The 22,802-nt window shown below is 41.6% G+C and overlaps 2 long non-coding RNA genes and 1 pseudogene across 10 annotated transcripts in view; all 3 read left to right on the top strand.

Moving 5' to 3' along the window:
- The window catches only part of LOC101928565 (uncharacterized), a 31,527-nt gene extending 30,953 nt beyond the window's left edge, over positions 1–574 (top strand). For all 3 annotated transcript variants that reach the window (NR_125956.2, NR_176057.1, NR_176056.1), the window contains exon 5: positions 315–574. This is a non-coding gene — a long non-coding RNA (uncharacterized LOC101928565). The remainder of the gene's footprint in view (positions 1–314) is intronic.
- LOC125312414 (uncharacterized) overlaps positions 1–22,802 on the top strand; it is a 95,450-nt gene that overhangs the window by 30,953 nt on the left and 41,695 nt on the right. For 5 of the 7 annotated variants that reach the window (NR_176085.1, NR_176084.1, NR_176086.1 and 2 more), the window contains one exon: positions 315–375. This is a non-coding gene — a long non-coding RNA (uncharacterized LOC125312414). Of the gene's footprint in view, positions 1–314; positions 412–22,802 lie in introns of all 7 variants that reach the window. The other 2 variants (NR_176089.1, NR_176090.1) reach the window with 1 other exon arrangement.
- QRSL1P1 (QRSL1 pseudogene 1) lies at positions 13,373–15,012 on the top strand (annotated as a pseudogene).

Genomic DNA, 22,802 nt, shown 5'->3' with positions numbered 1-22,802 from the left:
AGAGAGGAGGAAATGGGGAATAAGGTTTGAAAAACTAACCACTGGGTTCTGTCTCACTTGTCTGAGTGACAGGATTAACCATACCTCAAACCTCCGCATCACACACTATACCTGATATGGTATATCTATATACATATACCCACCCAAATCTCATCTTGAATTGTATTTCCTATAATCTCCACATGTCATGAGAGGGACCTGGTGGGAGGTAATTGAATCATGGGGGCAGTTACCTCCATGCTGTTCTCGTGATAGTGAGTGAATTCTTATGAGATCTGATGGTTTTATAAGGGGCTTTTCCCCCTTTTTCTCAGCACTTCTCCTTGCTGCCGCCATGTGAAGAAGAATGTGTTTGCTTCCCCTTCCGCCATGATTGTAAGTTTCCTGAGGTCTCCTCAACCATGCTGAACTGTGAGTCAATTAAGCCTCTTTCAATTATAAATTACCCAGTCTCAGGTATGTCTTTATTAGCAGCATGAGAACGGACTAATACAATCCCCATATAACAAATCTGCACATGGGACCCCTGAATGTAAAATTAAAGTTTAAACTATTAAAAAAAGAAAAGACATTGGCTCATTATGACCACATTTTGTGATTGTTCTGAGAATGGAGTCTCAGGAAGGCTCTGCAGGTGCTAGCTGAACTCTATGCCAACTCTCACACTGGACACCAGAGAAGATTGTGCTAGTGAAATGGGAAAACCAGGTTTCAGGAGATGGGGAATAAGGTAAATGAGTGCCAGGTTACACATGGCAGGATTTGCTCACTCATTTAACATTTAGCAAATATCACTAGAGTGTCCAGTACATGCATGCAACAAGAAAAAGGCACAGTCCCTCCACCCAACAAGACTATGGTCTACTGAGCGGGAAAGGCAACCAAAAGATAATTAATATACTACAGTGTGATCATTGCTACAGTGGGAGAAAGTCAAGATGGAATAAAGTAATACAGGAGAAGGAAATAACTCTAAGTTGTTGCGTTGAAATAAGGCTCCTGGAAAGAAAGCAGAGGCAGATTTGAGAAGCACAAGGCATGCATGGGGGTCCCCAGGCTGGATGGCAGAGGAGGGAGTGGAGGGGTGCAAATCAGTACCTGAGGCAGCCAGGGCTTGGTTGACACACTACCAAGAGTGCCCCATCTCTCATTCTTTCCTCCTCTATCCCCTCCCCTTTCTTTTGATGGATCTTCTCCCATCAGATTTGTACACCAAAGAAATAAGCACTATAGACCACAATAAAAATGGATCCAAGTGGCTTTTTAAAAGGCAACCTCACTTAATTAAGATATTCAGTCTCCATAACCCTGAAGGAATTCACTGGAAGTGCCAGTTTTCCCAGCAGCCCAGCACCCAAGAGGGAAACTAGATATAACCACACTTATGCTGCCTTCCCTCGTTTCACTCTTTCTCTTCTTTCTCCTCTCTTATCCTTGACCCTGAGAGAGAAGAGGAACAAAACTGAGTAGAAAGAGGTAAAGGAAAGGATGAGTGGATGAAAATACAAGAAAAAAGAATGGCAACACATGAGGAATGCTGGACTACCTCCTGCATATGGGCTATCTAAAGTGTTCCTCAGCAGACCTTTTTTTTTCTTTTCTTTTCTTTTCTTTTCTTTTTTTTGAGACAGAGTGTCACTCTGTCGTCAGGGTGGATTTCAGTGGCACAATCTTGGCTCACTGAAACTTCCGTCTCCCAGGTTCAAGCAATTCCCCTGCCTCAGCCTCCCAAGTAGCTGGGCCTACAGACACACACCACCATTCCCGGCTAAATTTTGTATTTTAGAGACAGGGTCCACCATGTTGGCCAAGGTGGTCTCGATCTCCTCATGATCCACCCACCTCAGCCTCCCAAAGTGCTGGGTTTACAGGCGTGAGCCACCACACCCGGCCAAGAGACCTTTTCTTAACAAGGATTTTCTCCCAATCCTCCCGGATAAAAGGATGGAAAAGGAAGATGAAGGCAAGACCCTTGGCCCAGAAACACAGCAAAGGTGGTCTGGTGAGAAGGCGGCAGAGGCCATCTCTCTACTGCACTCCCTCTCCCCTGGGCCCTTTTCCCCGTCCCCTGCCCTTGGGCAGTTGTCTGAGAGACCTGAAGTTCTCTGCACACTTTCCCCCTTTCTCTGACTCTTTTCTATTCTCTACCAACTGTGATGCCTACAACAGGCCTGAGTGGCTCCGCTCCTGCTCTTACACAGGTGAACCTCCTCATGAACTCCCAGGGGGACATATATGGCGTACTGGACATAGTCCATTTCTCAAGGACAGCAGGATCCAACCTGTCCATTAGCAACAGCAGCACTGTGTGAGATAAGCAATGAATGAAGACACACATGGTGTCCTTCCTCTTAACAATATCAGTGACAATACAACAATCTTCTTTTATGGAGCCTTTACCAACCAGCTTCCAACTCCCTCTGATTGTGATCTTTCTTTGTGCTGTTGGTCAGCATTTCACAGATATGCTTGCAAGATCATCTGTTTTTAATAATGATAATGTTTAATAGTATTCAAACATTTACATCTTGTGTTTCTTTATCACAAAATCACTTTGCAAGGTATAAATTATTATTTCTACTTTACAGATTATAAAATACAGACTCAAGTTTGTCAGACTTCAAAGCCCTCACTCTTTCTCCTGCTCCAAAATGTCTTACTTCCCCAACTGTAAGCACACTGAGGATAGAAACTGTGGCTCCTACCATGTTCTAACCCAATGCAAAGAAGCTAAGAATCTTGATAAAAGGTTAGATAAATGGCTAGCTAGAATAACCAGTTTAGAGAGGAACATAAACGACCTGATGGAGCTGAAAAACACAGCACGAGTGAACCATGCACAAGTATCAACAGCCAAATCAATCAAGCAGAAGAAAGGATATAAGAGTTTGAAGACCACCTTACTGAAATAAGACATGCAGACAATGGAGAAAAAAGGAATGAAAAGAATGAAGAATGAAATGTGAACAAAGCCTCCAGGAAATATGGGACTTCATAAAAAGACCAAACCTATGATTGATTAGAGTACCAAAGGAGATGAGGTGAATGGAAACAAGCTGGAAAACACACTTCAGGATATTTTCCAGGAGAACTTCCCCAACCTAGCAAGACAGGCCAACATGCAAATTCAGGAAATACAGATAACACCGTTAAGATACTCCACGAGAAGTTCAACCCCAAGAAACGTAATTATCAGATTCTCCAAGGTAGAAATGAAGGAAAAACTGTTAAGGGCAGCCAGAGAGAAAGGTCAGGTCACCTGCAAAGGGAAGCACATCAGACTAACAGTGGACCTCTCAGCAGAAACCCTACAAGTCAGAAGAGATTGGGGGCCAATATTCAACATTCTAAAAAAAAAAAGTATTTTCAACCCAGAATTTTATATCCAGCCAAACTAAGCTTCACATAAGCGAAGGAGAAAAAAAATACTTTCCAGACAAGCAAGTGCTGAAGAATTTCATTACCACCAGGCCTGCCCTGCAAGAGCTCCTGAAAGAAGCACTAAATATGGAGAGGAAAAACCGGTATCAGCCATTGCAAAAACACACCAAAATATAAAGACCAATGACACCACAAAGAAAATGAATCAACTAGTGTGCAAAATAACCAAATAGCATCATGATGACAGGATCAGATTTACACATAACAATATTAACCTTAAATGTAAATGGGCTAAATGCCTCAATTAAAAGACATAGACTGACAAATTGGATAAGGAGTTAAGACCCATCAGTGTGCTGTACTCAGGAGACCCATCTTACATGCAAAGGCACACACAGGCTCAAAATAAAGGCATGGAGGAAAAATTACCAAGCAAATGGAAAGCAAAAAAAAGCAGGGGTTGTAACCTTAGTCTCCATCAAAACAGACTTTAAACCAACAAAGATGAAAAAAGACAAAGAAGGACATTACACAATAGTAAAGTGAACAATTCAACAAGAAAATCTAACTATTCTGAATATACATGCACCCAATACAGGAGCACCCAGATTCATAAAACAATTTCTCAGAGACCTACAAAGATGCTTAGACTCCCTCACAATAATAGTGGGAGACTTTAACACCCTACTGTCAGTATTAGAAAAATCCATGAGACAGAAAATTAAAAAGGATATTCAGGACTTGAACTTAGCTCTGGATCAAGTGGACCTAGTAGAAATCTACAGAACTCTCTACCCTAAATCAGCAGAATATAAATTTTTCTCAGTGCTACATGGCACTTATTCTAAAATCGACCACATAATTGGAAGTAAAACACTCCTCAGCAGATGTAAAAGAACGGAAATCATAACAAACAGTCTCTCAGACCACAGTGCAATAGAATTAGAATTCAGGATTAAGAAACTCACTCAAAACCACAGAATTTCACGGAAATTGAACAACCTGCTCCTGAATGACTCCTGGGTAAATAATGAAATTGAGGCAGAAATCAATAAGTTCTTTGAAACCAATGAGAACAAAGAGACAACATACCAGAATCTCTGGGACACAGCAAAGCAGTGCTTAGAGGGAAATTTATAGCACTAAATGCCCACATCAGAAAGCTAGAAAGATCTCAAATTGACACTCTAATGTCACAATTAAAAGAGCTAGAGAGGCAAGAGCAAACTAATCCAAAAGCTAGCAGAAAACAAGAAATAGCTAAGATCAGAGAAGAATTGAAGGAGATAGAGACATGAAAAACCCTCCAAAAAAAAATCAACAAATCCAGGAGCTGTGTTTTTTTTTTAAATTAACAAAATAGACTTCTAGCTAGACTAATAAGAAGAGAGAGAAGAGTCAAATAGACACAATGAAAAATGATACAGAGGATATCACCACTGACCTCAAAGAAATACGAACTACCATCAGAGAATATTATAAACATTTCTATGCAAATAAACTAGAAAATCTAGAAGAAATGGATAAATTCCTGGATGCATACATTCTACCAAAACTAAACCAGAAGAAGTTGAATCCCTGAATAGACTAATAACAAGCTCTGAAATTGAGGCAGTAATTAATAGCCTACCAACCAAAAAAAGCCCAGGACCAGATGGATTCACAGCTGAATTCTACCAGAAATACAAAGAAGAGCTGGTACCATTCCTTCTGAAACTACTCCAGAAAATTGAAAAGGAGGGACACCTCCCTAACTTATTTTATGAAGCCAGCATTATCCTGATACCAAAACCAGGAAGCGGCACAACAGAAAAATAGAAATCTTCAGTCCAATATCGCTGATGAACCTTGAGGTGAAATCCTCATTAAAATACCGGCAAACAGAATCCAGCAGCACATCAAAAAACTTATCCAACATTATCAAATTGGTTTCATCCCTGGGATGCAAGGCTGGTTCAACATATGCAAATCAATAAATGTAATCCATCACGTAAACAGAACCAAAGACAAAAACCACAAAATTATCTCAATAGATGCAGAAAAGGCCTTTGATAAAATTCAACATCCATTCATGTTAAAAAACTCTCAATAAGCTAGGTAGTAATGGAACATATCTCTAAATAATAAGAGATATTTATGACAAACCCACAGCCAATATCATATTGAATGGGCAAAAGCTGGAAGCATTCCCTTTGAAAACCAGTGCAAGACAAAGATTCCCTCTCTAACCACTCCTATTCAACATAGTATTGGAGGTTCTGGCCAGGGCAATCAGGCAAGAGAAAGAAATAAATGATATTCAAATAAGAAGAAAGGAAGTCAAGTTGTCTCTGTGTGTAGACAATATGATTTTATATTTAGAAAACCCCATCATCTCAGCCCAAAAACTTCTCGAACTGATAAGCAACTTCAGCAAAGTCATGGGATATAAAATCAATGTGAGAAAATCACAAGCATTCCTTTACACCAACAATATGCAAGCAGAGAGCCAAATCATAGATCAACTCCCACTCACAATTGCTACAAACAGAATAAAATACCTAGGAATACAGCTAACAAGGGAAGTGAAGGACCTCTTCAAGGAGAACTACAAACCATTGCTCAAGGAAATAAGAGAGGACACAAACAAATGGAAAAACATTCCATCCTCATGGATAGGAAGAATCAATGTCATGAAAATGGCCATACGGCCCAAAGTAATGTATAGATTCAATGCTATTCCCATCAAACTCCCATTGACATTCTTCACAGAATTAGAAAAAAAATTTTAAATTTCATATGGAATCAAAGGAGACCCTGTATAGCCAAGACAATCCTAAGCAAAAAGAACAAAGCTGGAGGCATTATGTTACCTGACTTCAAACTATATTGCAAGGCTACAGTAACCAAAACAACATGGTACTGGTACCAAAACAGACATGTAGACCAATGGAGCAGAAAAGAGATTTGAGAAATAACACCACACATCTACAACCATCTGATCTTTGACAGACCTGACAAAAACAAGTAATGGGGAAAGGATCTCCTATTCAACAAAATGGTTCCAGGAAAACCAGCTAGCCATATGCAGAAAACTGAAACTGGACCCCTTACTTGCACCTTATACAAAAATTAACTCAAGATGGATTAACGACTTAAATGTAAAACCCAAAACCATAAAAACCCTAGAAGAAAACCTAGGCGATACCATTCAGGACAAAGGCATGGGCAAGTCTTCATGACAAAAACACCAAAAGCAATTGCAACAAAAGGCAAAATTGACAAATGGGATCTCATTAAACTAAAGAGCTTCTGCACAGCAAATGAAACTATCATCAGAGTGAATAGTTTCGTTTGAAAAGAAATAGTTTCGTTTGAAAAGAAAGAAAGGAGGGAGGGAGGGAGGAAAGAAAGGAAGGAAGGAAGGAAGGAAGGAAGGAAGGAAGGAAGGAAGGAAGGAAGGAAGAAAGAAAGAAAGAAAGAAAGAAAGAAAGAAAGAAAGAAAGAAAGAAAGAAAGAAAGAAACAGAAAGAAAGAAAGAGAAAGAAAGAAGAAAAGAAAGAAGGAAAGAAAGAAAGAAAGAGAGAGAGAGAGAGTTGGGGAAACCAGCCCCACAGCCCCACACCACCCAGCGGGTACCCCGAGTCCAGCAGAGACAAAAGATTTAGAAAGAGACAGAATAAGAGTTTAAAAGGTGGGTCCAGAGGACCAGAGCCTCGGAGGCTTGCTCACACCCCCGAGCTCTCAGCCTCCACCCAATTTATTGGTTTACAAGCTCTTTGTTCTTAGGGCAAATGGGAGGGTAGGAAGGGATGAGGAAAAGGATTAATCAGTGAAGGAGAACTTGTGAGTCATTCAATAAGATGTATAGCAGTGGTGGTTTCTGTGAATTTCCTCGAGCAAAGGCGTGTGTCTAAACTACTTAAGATCTTTAACTTATCGGGACTGAAATGGGTGGGAGTAGGTTTCAGGAGGAGCCAAGATGTTTGATTATACTCCACTGCTTCAAGGCAGTGTTATTTCCCCGAGCAACCTGTGGCATGCCACTGAGCCGTTATGCTCTCGGGGCATACAGCCATGAAGGCAATAAGGAGACTTTTCTCCTCAGAAGCCGCCCATGGCTCCCCATGGGTGTCTTACTTATCTGGCATTCCAGAAAGTCAAAGAAGGAAAGAAAGAAGAAAAGAAAGAAAAAAAGAAAAGAAAGAAAGAAAGAAAGAAAGAAAGAAAGAAAGAAAGAAAGAAAGAAAGAAAGAAAGAAAGAAAGAGAAAAGAAAAGAAGGAAAGAAGGGAAGGAAGGAAGGAAGGAAGGAAGGAAGGAAGGAAGGAAGGAAGGAAGGAAAGAAAAGAAAGAAATTTCTAAAAAAGAAATTGTGGCTCCTACTTCTTTGAATCCTCTGAAGTGCTCAGTCTTGCCCTGAATATAGGCTTAATTTCAAACATTTCTGTAGCTAATGAAAAAGAAGTTTGATTGTAGAGGGCAATATGATAAAGGCATTAAACAAGACACACACAGCTGCTTTCTTACCTGCAAAGCCAGCCTTTCCTCCCAAATGCACATAGTCATTAGTAAAAAGCTAAATTTAAAGCCATGATAAAATAGCCAGCCAGTTGCTAAACAAAGGCATCTTAGATACATCTTCATTTGTTTGCATTCTACACTGAAAAGTCATCAAACATCCCCAGATAGATGGAGAGAAAGAGCAGGTATTAAGCCAGAGCTGTGATTCCTAAGCCTATCCAGGCAGTGACATTCCTGTGACTTTGCAAGGACAAGAAAGTCACCAGCACATGCCACATGTCTTACAGACTGTCCATAAGCCAAAAGTGGTCCTCATGCTGATGGCAAGAGATGGAATTTGAAAAAAGAGATACCTCTTGCATATTTCAAAGTCTCTCCAGTAATTTGAGGGGAAAAATATCAAAAATAAAGATGAAAGTCTAGCAAACTAGTAGAACACAGAAAAGGGGGCATAAGTCCCTGTATCCTAATGCTGGCTGGCTTCCAGCATGTCATTTTGTATACATTTGTCATTTTGTATAAAGACATCAATGAGGAATACATGACTGGGTGCAATAACTGACCTTGGCCTTGACACCAGTCCTGACCCCACTAGGTCTTCCCTGTACACTGGCCCCCTGCCCTCCATGTCTTCAGCCACCTTCCTTTGGCTCGAACATTCCCATAGCTGCCTTGATGGAACACTACCCAGCAGTTTCCCACTCTGATTCTTCCCTACTTAAGGACCCTTGAAAGAGCAGAAGAGAGAATGACCCACAGCCAGAGAGTATATGAACCTCTGAGTCAGCTAACCCAGCAATAGTTATGCCTTCTAGAGAGGGAGTCCACACCAGGCCATGGGGAGGAGTCATCCAGCTTCAATATCTATAACAAAGACTTATTTCACTTGCTTAGGAGAACTCAAGTTTAAAATAGTGAGTGAGACTTTTTTTAGCATTGCCCAAAAGATGAAACTGCAGCCCTTTTCCAGCCAGAGAGATGAGCTGTGCATTAGTTGACTTGCAGAGTTCAACCGAATGGAATGGTCTTGGAGTAAGGCAGTAATAGAAAAATCAGCCTTTGTGTCTGGCCTGCTTTTTAATATTCCCACTGAACTCTCAGTCTGTTAAGAATCTCATGATATATTTGGTCTAATCTCTTAGGTACATATCTCCTCTCAGCAGATACCCCAACAAGTAATAGAAAATGTGCCTTTCAATAGAATAATAAGAAGAAAAGGTTGACAAGAGAAAGGGCAAGAGAAAAGGGGGCTCAGCTCTTGCACGGCCATCCTGACTGGCTATCGCTGGTGCTATTGCAGGGATGGCACAGCAATGCTTCACTTACCAAGTGCTCCCTGCACAAGACACCTCTGGTGCCTGCACATGAGACTAAGACCTCTCCTTTAGGGACCATTTTGCTACACCTTCCCCACAGTGTGTCTCAGAAACTCTTCTGTCATTCTCCATATTCAAATCACAACTTGAGTCAATTTTATTTGCCCTTTTCATGACATGTTTAAATTTCTGTCTTGACATCTTGTCTTGACATGAGCTTTAAGGTAATATGCAGTAATATTTCTGGGATGAGAATCCCTGAGTTACAATTTTAAATTTTGTTGTTATAATAATGACTTACATGAACATATCTTTCCTCTTTTGAATACTACCTGATTCAGAGAAACTTCTAATATTCCAACGGGTTTTTCTCCTCATGATTATTTATATCATTGTGTCCAAAGTTTCTTGATCATCCACCCCATGAGTAAAAACTTTTGAGCATGTGCCCCCAAAATATATTTACTTGTAAATTTTATATGTAAGTTACTGTCAACCCATATAGTATATATTTTTAGAGCTTAATTTCTTTCTTATTTTAGATACAAATAAATAGAAACTCTAATATTTTACTCCTGTGCTCCAGGAAATTATCATACAGAAGGAATGCTTGTACCCCACTTTGGAGGATATTACATAAAAAGAAAGGGGATATGTACGAGGTTGTCATCATTCCTGCAATGATAGAAACAACATTCTTCTCCCACCTCAATGAACTGTTGTTCTGACAGATATACATATAAGGCCCTCTGAGCTAATGAAAAAAAAAAGAATTATTCAACCTAATTCAGTGGGAAGCACTGTGCCATAAATAATCTCAAATCATTATCCTGGCCATTAATTTCAGCCTCTCCCTCTTGTTGCACATGTTTTTGGAATGACCAACTTGCAGCACAATTGACTCATTTGCTGTCCACATCCCTTACTTGGTTTATCCCTTTCTGGAAGTGCTAACTGCAGTGAAATGGTCAAGTTGCTGGAGGGAGAAAGGAGGATGTTCACAAACTGGGAAAGAGTATCAAAATTATCACAAGGTGCCAGCAGAGTCACTGTCACCATCAGACCACCTAGGGAGCCAACTGTTGCCATCACTCACCCATGTCACTTACAGATCTCCCTGTTCACAAAGAGAGAAAGCAGATGAAAAGGCCTGTTTACATTAGAAAAGGTAGAGTTTAGCTTCCATGTGCCTGTGATCTAGCTTCTTTCTGTAAGTTGTAGATGTTGAAAGAAAATAGACATGGCCTGTGTGCTTTCAAGCAGCACTCTCCCTGCCGGTTCTCAAAAAACATTAAATAAAAAATATTCTACAGAGATCCATCCAGCTGTTCTGACTTAAGGGCAATGCATTAGACACAACACAAAGCAAATGGAGCAAGTCAAGAGGCAGAAGGAATGTCCTCACAGGCAGGGGCCTAGGTACTGCAATGCCTGCTGCCAAAATGTGACACTCCCTATTAAAACTGAAAGTCATCACCATGCCAATATCAGCCAAGTTTACCATTTGCTGTAGACCAACAAAACTACCTTGGGTTGGCAGTGGGAGCTTGGGGGATTGAACTTGGTTTGCGGGGCTACAAAGATGGTCAAGACCCAGACCTGCCCTCAAGGTGCTCACAGTCTATAAAGCAGCTAAACTTAAGGGGAAGGAACATGCTAAAGGGTTCATGGGCAGGCCATACTCCCACAGCTGGGTGTTTCCCTGCAGCCTCTCAAGTAGCCTCTGAGTAGTGGGAAGGGCAGAAGCCATATGGACCTTATGCAAGTTATACAAACTGAGCACTTTTAATGTCACCTGAGGGGCAGGGGGACTCCCTGTACTGATTATTAAGATGTGAAAGAGATGATACAAAGGCTTATATTATAACGCCTTCCTTGTCTGAGTGGGGAGAGGAGCAACATCCCAAGACACTCAGAAAATTAGATTGTACAATCCCCTGTGGTAACCCCATTCTAGGCTAACAAGCCTCCCTTGGTGGAGAGCCTGCAGGCAAATGCCAACTATTGCACAGCTCTCAGAGATCATGTGAAAGTTGTCATTTAAACCATCCTTTCAATAAGAACTCCACAGGGTCTTTGGGATCAAAGGAAACAGAGAAAGTTGGCAGGTGGCAGGAAATACTTAGTCTCCTTGCCTGCAGAAGCTCTTGAAAATCCCGTATTCCACTTCTCATGCATGCACAGGCCTGCTTAGATCCGGCCTTGTTCTTCCAAGTAAATAATATTTAACCTTTCAACAAATATTTATTAAATGCTGTTTGTCACTGTTCTATGCCCTGGGAATACAGAAGTAAACAAAACAGACACAAACCTCTGCCTGCATAGAGCTCCCACTAGCATACATAAGCTATATAAATGGCAGGAGCCGTAAGTGCCATGGAGAATCAGAAAGCAGAGCAAGCGGATGGGGAGGCTCCATTGCCATACCCTGCAGAGACCCTTATGAGAGTTAGAGTCTAAGGCTGAGGAGGACCTGAGAGTCCCAGAATTCTTGTAGTAACTCATGCAAAATGGGATCAAGAACCAGATGATGTCAGGCCTTGTGGTCTGATGGTCATGGAGAGGCTGTGTATGTTGAGGAAGAAGGGGCTGGAGTCTTGGCAGGAGCACACAGACTTTCAGTCCCCCTTCCACTTCTCCTGTAAATCATGTGGTTGTTCTGGGGTGGGGTGGTATTATCTAGAGCACCTGGAAGTCTTAGCTCCCTCTTCATTCCTATAAAAAGATGTGAAAGCAGGAAGGAACATTAGTGTTATCAAAACAATAAAGGTTGTGTAAATTACTCATAATTTTCACTATCTTCTATCTTAGGAAAATTATTTCCCATGATTTCAGCAAGTGACAAGTTTTTACACTGAAGCATAAACTTTCTTAGTCTAAGTAAATTTGTGGTTTTGCTCTGTTCCTCCCCACCCCAGGCTTGCTCTGGACAGTAACCAAGCTGTCCTGGGCTAAATACACCATCTAGCGGTCAGCTCTGGAAATTATCTGACCCCTGCCACCTTCACTAGTTCCCTGCTCTACCCCTTCTATTTATCCCTGAGTAAATACATCTCAAATTATCTATTTACTCAGAAATATGACAAAAAAAAATGCTTTCTCCCTCTTTCATCCATCTTTTACCATTACCTCTTTCTCTTGTACACAAGTCTTTCATGATTCTCGTGGAAAAACTTACAACTTCACACATAGAAAAAAAAATCACGCTTAGAGTATGACACAGAGTACTTTCATGGCTGTCCGACCTCCCTGACCCCACATTTTATGCTGTCTTCTTGCCACACCACCCAACTCACACTGGTCTTCTGCTGTTCCTGGAAACTGCCTATGCATGGGGCTTTAAGCTTCACTTCTCTCTGCCTAGAATATCCTTCCTCCTGCAGAGCCACATTGATTACTCCCTACTTCTTTGAGGAACTCTGTCAGCAGCTCCTTCAAAGGGATTTGCCTTTGTTAGTGTATCTAAAATCTCATCTCTTATGCCAATTTTTTTCTTCAAAGCACTTATCACTACTTGATATTTTATGATATATCTATCTTTCATTAGTTTGGTGTCTGAATATCTCCAGAAGAAAGAAAATTCCTCAGAAACAGAAACTTTGTTTTGTCCCTTGATGTATCTCAAGTGATTCCAGGCCTGGAACATAACAGGAATTCTCCCCAGTCTCCCCTCCCACCCAAAAATGTGAAATCTATTTTCATAGTCAATATACAAGATTGATGCCTGAGAAACAGCAATAACAAGAAAAGGGGAATCTGTAGACATTCAAGTGAAAATCAGATTTACAAAGAGCCAGTGAAACCCTGAAAGTGGCTGAGACATCCTCTTTAGGATCTTCGTTTACCTCTTATCCCTTTTTAATTAAATGTGTTTTCCCTCAAAGTCTATTCAAAATAAACTGGTTTAGTTTAATTCTTTTTTGTTATTTTTTTTAAAAACTTTGGCATTGTACCATTATGATCTTCAACTATTTATTTCAAATATGCTCTATTTCAGCTGCATTTTAAGTTATACTTGGGCTAGAAACCTGGTCACTAGTAAGTACACTATTTCTATGTAGAGATATCCCCTGTGAATTCCAAATAACCAACTTGCAAGTGACATTTTGAATTATAACCCTGCTGCAAACTGGGAACACTCTTTAGGTGGCTTTTAAAATTTTTAGAATCCCGCAGTGACGATTAAAGATGGCTGCGCCCATGTAATGTCACTAGCAACTGGTGACCTCTTTCTCCTCCTTGCCTGGCCCCTGTGGTGGCAGGCTGGGCACGAGGACCATGCTGGGCCGGACCCTCTGAGAAGTTTCTGCAGCACTGAAACAAGGCCAGATTACGCCAACAGAGCTCTGTCAAAAATGTCTCTCTCTTATCAAGAAGACCAAGTTTCTACATGCCTACATTACTGCATCAGAAGAGGTGGCCTTAAAACAAGCTGAAGAATCAGAAAAGAGATATAAGCATGAACAGTCACTTGGGGATTTAGATGGAATTCCTATTGCAGTAAAAGACAACTTTAGCACATCTGGCATTGAGACAACATGTGCATCAAATATGCTGAAAGGTTATGTACCACCTTATAACGCTAGAGTAGTTCCGAAGTTGTTGGATCAGGGAGCTCTACTAATAGGAAAAACAAATTTAGATGAGTTTGCTATTGGATCTGTAAGAACAGATGGTGTGTTTGGACCAGTTAAAAACCCCTGAGTTATTCAAAATAATATAGAGAAAAGAGGAAGCAGAATCCCCACAGCAAGAATGAAGATTCAGACTGGCTGATAACTGGAGGAAGCTCAGGTGGGAGTGAGGCTGCTATGTCGGCTTTAGGATCAGCTACAGAAGGATCGACCAGAAATCCTGCTGCTCACTGCAGGCTTGTTGGTTTCAAACCAAGCTATGGTTTAGTTTCCCATCATGGTCTCATTCTCCTGGTGAACTTGATGGATGTGCCAGGAATCTTAACCAGATGTGTGGATGATGCAGCAATTGTGTTGAGTGTACAGGCTGGACATGACACCAATGATTGTACCACAGTATAGGACCCTATTAAACCATTTATTTGGTTTGGCAGATGTGAGCAAACTATGTATAGAAATTCCAAAGGAATATCTTGTGCCAGAATTATTAAGTGAAGTACAGTCTTTTTGGTCCAAAGCTGCTGACCTCCTTGAGTCTGAAGGGGCCAAAGTAATTGAAGTATCCATTCCTCACACCAGTTATTCAATTGTCTGCTATCATGTATCGTGCACATCAGGAGTGGCATTAAATATGGCAAGACTTGATGGGCTACAATGTAGTCACAGATGTGACACTGATGTGTCCACTCAGTGTGTCCACCCATGGTTGAAGCCATGTATGCGTCAACTAGACAAGAAGCGTTCAATGATGTGGTGAGAGGAAGAATTCTCTCAGGAAACTTTTTCTTATTAAAAGAAAACTGGGAAAATTATTTCATCAAAGCACAGAAAAGTGCGACGTCTCATTGCTAATGACTTTGCAAATGCTTTTAACTCTGGAGCAGACGTCTTCCTAACTCCCACCATCTTAAGTGAGGCAGTACCATATTCGGAGTTCATCAAAGTAGACAACAGAACACGAAGTTCCCAGAATGATATTTTTACACAAGCTGTAAATATGGCAGGATTGCCAGCAGTGAGTATCCCTGCTGCACTCTCAAACCAAGGGTTGCCAGTAGGACTGCAGTTTTTTGAACATGCATTTTGTGACCAGCAGCTTCTTACAGTAGCCAAGTGGTTTGAAAAACAAGTACAGTTTCCTGTTATTCAACTTCAGGAATTCATGGATGATTGTTCATCAATGATCACTCAGTAGGGCACATCACTCAGTAGGGCAGGAAGAAATTTCTGGATTCTTCTCATTCTACCTGAGAGCAGAGGAAGACCTCTAGAAGCTGAGCTCAAATTCCCCCTCTGCTTAACCGTAGCTCGCCATTTTCTTTGCTCTAACATGACTGTTCCATATGACACAAGGAATATCTTCCAAAGCAGTTTCCTCCCAGAGTCCTGAAAGGAAACTAGGAAAATGTAAATGTCCTCTGCTTCTGGCTTTCCCATATCTACCAGGTAGAAGCGTGATGCAAGATTCTCACCACCCCATGTCTTCTCTCCTTCCCAAAATTCATCAGGACTCAAGGGGGAGATTTTCACTTCTTTTCCTCTCTGGAATGCTCTTCTGCCACTTGTCTTTCTTCTTCTCAGGGCAACAAAACTTCATGCCCAGGTTAATTGCAGAAAACGGTGTCCCCTCTATGCTACAGAAGAATCTCTAAGACCTAGTTCGACTAAGCTGGCTTTTAATACACTAAAAAGGCCAAAGAAGTTTTGAAAAGCCCTTTCTAATTGGCAAGTCCTGGTTTCACAAAACTATTAAATTAAAAAAAAAAACTAAAAGATTTTTTAAAATAATTCCTACTCTGGGCATCAAAAGCTAGATAGTTTTCATTTTGCATTCCTATTATAGAAACCCTATTCCTCCTTGAGGCAAATGGATGCTTCTGGCAGCATGGGAAGGGAGACACCAGAAAAAAATTCATGAGGAAAACACTCCAATAAATTGCAAAGAATAAATTCCCAGCACAGTGCTCTCAACACTCTTTTCTTGAGTATCTAGTATGTGCCAGACTCCAGGCAGAAGCTATGAGGCCAGTGTGGCTCACTCGGGTGTGAGTGGTGTGGAGCACAGATACGTAGCTGGTGCAGAAGAGTTCAGTTGGTAATCAGCTCTGCCCAGGATTTCAGAGAATTGGCTCTGAAGTATGAATGAAGTTGGACACAGAGTCAAGGGGAGGAAGGAAGTCCAGGCAAAAGGAGTGCTGTGTACAAAGACACAGAGACGTGAAATATCTGCCCCATTCAACGGATTTCAAATAGCCTAATATGACTCAATGTAGAGAGGTTGGGGAGCAAACACCATAGCATAAATGATTTTCATAGCATGAAAAGGAAGACTGTGATCAGCTTGTGTTTAAGAAAGATCACTCTAGCTTCAGTATGGATAGAGTGGAGAGGGTTGAGAGTAGAGGCCAGGAAACTAGCTAATAACAGTAACAATAATAACAATTGCCAACACAGTGCTCCCTGCGTGACAGGTATATATTTAATCCTCACAACAATAACAACCCATGAGGTAGGTGCAATTAGTGTCCTCCTTTAACAGGAGACTGAGGCTGAGAGAGGCTTGCCTTCCTAACATCCATCATACAGCCAGCAAATGGCAGAGCCAGAAAATGAATGCAGGCAGCCTGACTCCTGCATTCACATTCTGGCTCTGCTCTTTGCTGGCTGTATGATGCCTGCAGAGCTCAGGCTTTGCAGCAATCCAGGTCAGGATAATGGTGACCAAGGATTGTGGTAAGCAGAATAAAGCCTCGCCTACCAAAGATGTCCACTCCCTAATTCCCAGCACCTGTGACTACATTAGGCTGCATGGCAAAAGGGGATTAAGGTTGCAGATGGAAACTTTTAACTCACCTTAAAATATGGAGACTGTTCTGGACCATCTGGGTGGCCTAAAGTAATCAAAGGGTCCTTAAGAGTGGAAAAGGGAGGCAGAAAAAAAGGATCAGAGAAAGAAATGTGATCATGAAAGCCAGGCAGAGAGCTGTAACATTGCTGGATGTGGAGATAGGGGAAGGGGCCACAAGTCAAGGACTGCAGATGGCCTTTGAAAACTGGAAAAGGCAAAGAAGCAGATTCTCTCTCCTAAGCCTCCAGAAAGAAATGCAGCCCTACCAAGTCCTTCATTTTAGCCCAATGAGATCCATATCAGACTTCTAGCCTACACAACTATAAGATAATACATTTGTATTGTTTTCAGCCACTAAGTGTGTGGTAAATTGTTACGGCAGCCATAGGACGTCGATAATAATGATGGTGAAGAAACCACCAATTCAAAGCACATTTTGGAGGTTAAATTCACCTCCTAAAGGATTTAGAGATCCAGTAGATAACTAGTGCCTTGCCAGTTGGAACGTGGTTCCAGGATGATATGAAAGGAGATGAAGTGAACTCAAAAGACTCCATTTTCTTCTCTGAATCTAAAGTCACTTAACCGATATACTATGTTTTGATTCCTCCAAACCATAGCCTCATCCATTTGTTCCATACTTTTCTGCTTTTTTTTATTTGACTTCCCTCATTCAGCCTTTCTATTTGTATCAACAGCTTCACCAGAAATTCTCTGCATTTTTTCTCTCCATTTTCTCAACCCATAATTACCAGATTCAGACCTTTAGTGGACTGAAAAAGTATCAAATGATCTTTGTCTCCTTCTACCTCCTTCTGGTACATTTTCCAGTTTTCTCTTCATATGTTCTCTCAAGAAATAACTCCAATACACTCTTTGATGAGATTTTGCCTTATAAGACACAGACATCCCCCCAGGGAGCTTCCACTACTGGGGAGCCCAGGCCATCAACACTAACAATAAAGTGTGACATGGTGGAAATACCCAACCTAGTGTAAGGAGAGGAGGCCTTCAGGGAAAGCCATAAGCTTCTGCATGGGTGTCTTTAGAAAGCAATTTCCCATCATACTTCTCTTAGCTTTTGATTTTGCAAGCAGGGAAATGTCTGCCTAAAAGCTAAGAACTGGGCTCAGGCAGGCTTGACAGAAAAAGTGCTTGCACTTGCACAATATCAGAATCACAGCCACCTAAGGTGACCCAAGCCCTACCTTTTACTTGTCACATCAAAGGAGAAAACATAAAGAGAGGAGATATCCTGATTTTCTGATATTTAAATTTGCTTTACAGAGGAAATAAAATAGTTCATTTAATGGGAATAAACATTCAACTTAAAGTCACAAATATATTCTGGGGGAAAAAAGTTACCATCTGTTCCCTCTACTTGAATATAAGTTTGTTTTCTATATACAGAATGACTGCATCTATCCAAAAAGTATATGTTGAGCTGAGTGCAGCAACAAAGACATCAGTGACATAGTCCCTGACTTCTAGGACTTAAAATCTGCTTGAAAAAAAACAAAACATACAACCTTGAAGCACTATAATAATAATAGTCACAATACTTTTTTTAGCTCTTTTTACATATGATTTTATCTACCGTTAAATTATAAAAGCAGCGCAGAAAAAGTCTGCTGAATTTCAGAGAAAGGAGCTAGAAGGGGTTCATAGTTCTGGAAGGCTGGAGGGAGGATGCAGTATCTCAGTTGGCCCTGGAAGATGGCCTGGAGAAGCACCAGAAAATCTGAAACATACAAAACCAGAGAAGTAGAATATTCATGAGAAGGCTAAGGGAACCGTAAATAGATCAGTTTGGCCAAAACGAAGGTTACAAGGGGAGATGTTGCCAGATCATGGAAGACTTCCACTCTTTTCAAAAGGGGTATTTGCTGGGAGCATCAGAAACCACACACGACCATGGTGCAGTTTTCTTACATGTCCATTTTCTCTGAAGCTTTGGAAAGGAAAGTTCGGTCTGTAAACTTGTTTTACATATTATTTTCATAGAAATGCAAACATTGGTACATTTTTAAGTAAAAAATAGAAATTTGCATGAATGTTTAAGATAAAAACATTTCAAAGAATGTTGTCCCTTGCAGCAGGACCTCAAACCCTGAACGTTCACCTTCCCAGACTCTTTCTGCTCTGTCATCCCCAACCCCAGACAACTGATAAGCTCAGTCTGGTGCAACTCCTCTCATTTCCCAGTTTGACTCCTCTCCCGCCGGCTGACACTGTGCCAGCTCAGGTTCTTATCAGCTATCACTCAGGTTATTGCAGTTGAATCCTACCTGGACCTGCTGCCTCCCCATCATTCCTTTCCCCTCTCCTTCTACACTATGCCCAGGGTTGTCTTTCTTTCTTCTTTTTTTTTTTTTTGTTTTTTTGTTTGTTTGTTTGTTTGTTTGGAGATGGAGTCTCGCTCTGTCGCCCAGGCTGGAGTGCAGTGGTGCGATCTCGGCTCACTGCAACCTCTGCCTACCGATGTGAGCCATGTGAGCCACCACGCCTGGCCTCCTTCTGGTATTTTCTTTTTTTTGAGACGGAGTCTCACTCTGTCACCCCAGCTGGAGTGCAATGGCACTATCTAGGCTCATTGCAACCTCCACCTCCTGGGTTCAAGTGATTCTCCTGCCTCAGCCTCCTAAGTAGCTGGGACTACAGGCGCATGCCACCACGCCTAGCTAATTTTTCTATTTTTAGTAGAGACGGGGTTTCACCATGTTGGCCAGGATGGTCTAGTTCTCTTGACCTCCTGATCCGCCTGCCTCAGCCTCTCAAAGTGCTGGGATTACAGGCGTGAGCCACCCCACCAGGGTCATCTTTCTAGAAGGAAAATGGAATCATACTACCCACAGCTGTAGCCCTTTTAGTCTCATCTCCACCTTTCACCTGTGCCCCAGCTACACCAACTCCCAACCAACCCACCAACAGCCACCCCAGGAAGTTCACTGGCTGGGCTTTTTTGTACCACATCCGTCCTGCACACACTGTCCTCATCCACCTGACAAACACCTCATATGTTGAGAAAACATTTCCTGCAAACATTGCTCCAACAATTTGCCTCCTTATACCACACTATCCTTGGAGAAACCAAAACCTCAATAAGTTCTCTTGAAGGGACTTTCTTTTCTTCTATTCCTGGGATAACTTATTATCCTCCATGTTTTTCAGCTCTATTTCCCAGTTTTCTTGAGAATCATCAGAAATCTGCCAATATTTTATTATCTGAGAAATACTTCTGAGGCAACAGAAACAGGACACTGTCTTTTAGATCTTTTATCTTCCACATAGCCAATCCCAAAGCACAAATCATTTAAAATGGCTCAATAAACATATATAACTGGCTTACTATGATGTGTTGGGAACTTTCTTAGGTGCCGAGGATAAAGAGATGAGTGAGACACAACCCTGCATTGAAGAAATTAACAATTTTCTTTTTCGTTCTTTCTTTTTTTTTTTTTTTTTTTTTTTTTTTTTTGAGACAGACTCTCACTCTGTCGCCCAGGCTGGAATGCAGTGGTGCGATCTCAGCTCAGTGCAACCTCCGCCTCCTGGGTTCAAGCAATTCTCCTGCCTCAGCCTCCCATGTAGCTGGGATTACAGACATGCACCACCACACTTGGCTAATTTCTGTATTTTCAGTAGAGATGGGGTTTCACCATGTTGGCCAGGCTGGCTGGAGCTCCTGACCTCAAGCAATCTGCCCACCTCAGTCTCCCAAAATGCTAGGATCACAGGCATGTGCCACCACCCCCAGCTGAGAAATTAACAATTTTCTAAGTATCTCTATTTCCAGCCCATGCCCAGAGCCATTTCTTAGCTACCACGGAATATGGGTCTCACTCAGTCACTGGTTGCACCAGGAAATAGGCCTAGGAGAGCCCCAAAGAGAAAGCTGCTCAGTGAGTCTAACCACACAGAAAGAATCCTACATCACCACCACGCAAAGGCGGTGGTTTTACTTTGAAATAACAGGTTATTGGGCCCTGGCTTCTCCCCTTTATTCTTCTGTGTTAATCCACTTCGCTCGGTCTCTTTCAGTACAGAACAGGTACAGCCAGGTACTCCCAGTTCAAAAACAACTTTATTTTCTCTGAATAGAGACCTTTCAATAGAAGAAACATAACTTGATCATTGTAATTTAAGCCTCAGCATTCTCTTTAGCTTGGGACTAGTCAACATGGTTATCAGTCTTCTCTGGTTATCCCTGCCTCAACTCAAATTTTTTTGCTTGATCTATTCTTCATTGCCCATAACCACCCACCCCCACCTTCTTAATAATTCCATTCCCATAAAACAGTGCCAGAGCAACTTCTTTCAGGTATGAGCTGATAAGTTTCCTTCTGCTTGGCTGTCACGGAAATTGCTTTCTCCATGGTTTCCGGGACCCTGATTTGGTCTGGGTCTCAGATGCTGCCCTTGAAGTCTTCCTGAACTCATCTGTTACTTTTCTGGCATTCCGCCAAAGGATATTGTCCAGGAAGGTATCTTTACCTGATCTTATTCATTTCTTCATCTTCCTCACAATGTTTAAGCTTCTAAAACCCCCATCAGAACTCAGCCAGCCAGCTAAAGTCTATAGAGTCCCTGAAAGGGATCAAAAAAAATTAATAACTATGGGCAAAGCAGAAGTAGGATCAGGTCAATAGTATCAGTCACTACCTTAGCTAAATACTAGAGAAAGAGAGACAAGGAGATACTGTAACCTAAATCCATGAGCCCAAATGAGTGCCCGAGAAGTGTATGAGACACTGGGCTTTGGGTCAGAGAGTTGGCACATTTGTGTCCCGGGAAAAATCAGCTCTACCAGCCAAAAGACAAAGGCATTTCATCAGTTTCATGAGAGATTTTTCTCTGACAGCTGCCCAGGATTATCTCTCATCCTTGAAACCAGAGGGCTTAGGTAGCTCTGGTCAGCTCTGCCACAGATGTATAGTCAGTATCTCCACAGGAACATTTAAGAGCTTTTGAGTCTTTGTCAGTATCATCTGTTAAAAGGCTCATGGTCTCCTTGCTAACACAAATATTGACCCACTAAAGACTGAATGGGATGGTCATGGGCCCTCTTCAACTCCTTATGAACCTCATTCTCCTCTTATTTTGCTAATAGTTCCTAAGTTGATTAATTGATCAGGTAAATCCAACCAGACTGAATTCTCAAAGGGCAAAAATATGTGTAATTATCTTTCTGTGTTTTCCCCAACAATTAGGACCATTCTGGGCACGCAGTGGCCTGAGACTCACAGCAGGTCACCTGATGCTATCCCTTTGATGGTACCCACAGCTGCCACTCCCTGACCTTACGAGTGCTCATTCTGACCCTCCACCTTCTCAAAAACTCGCTCTGCAGGCTCAATATTTGCTTAAACATAAGCAAATCTACACACTTCAGCTGACCCAGGGTTGCAGATTGATAGGGATTTATTCTGGACTCATCATAAATGCTTGTATTATAAATATGATTTAGCACTTAACCATGAATCCCCCTGTATTGTTCTCCAGTTGTGTGCACTTCTCGAACAACATAATTGCATGGTGGTAAAGAGCTCTGACTTTGAACTGACATGGTTCAAATCCTAACTTCTCAACTTACAGTAGAATAAATTAAAATACCTATAATTTTTATGGTGTTACTGTGAGATTACATAAACTAGCGCACGTCAAATGCTGTGTCTGGCACAGAATAAGGCTCTCTAAGTGCCAGTCTTATCATAATCCCCAAGTGGGGCAAGGAACATCTTCTACTCCTCATTTACCCCTTATAATCTAAGCACACAATAAACGCTAGGCACACGATGGGTGTTTAATACATGCTGACCAACTGACTGAATAACTTCCCCAATATGACTGCATTCTTCCAAGGCTGATAAAAACATTTCTGCCCAAGAATTCTATGAAAATTTTTATAGCTGCTTTTTAGGCTCACACTTTGACTTATCATCCCATTGACCTCCTCTCCATCACATACTCCTTTAAAGTAAGAAAGAATTCCCCGTGCTGTTCCAGTGGCTAAAGGTCTCATGGCTGCAGCAGTGAGTCAGCAGCTCACCCTGCAGCTGGCAGCTCAGACCCAACCGTGGCCCACTGTGCTCAGTGTGTCCTGCAGCAGCCACGGGTATTCC

This window comes from Homo sapiens, chromosome 1 (genome assembly GCF_000001405.40).
Source record: "Homo sapiens chromosome 1, GRCh38.p14 Primary Assembly".
Lineage (NCBI taxonomy): Eukaryota > Metazoa > Chordata > Mammalia > Primates > Hominidae > Homo > Homo sapiens.
This window is presented reverse-complemented; position numbering and strand designations above follow the sequence as displayed.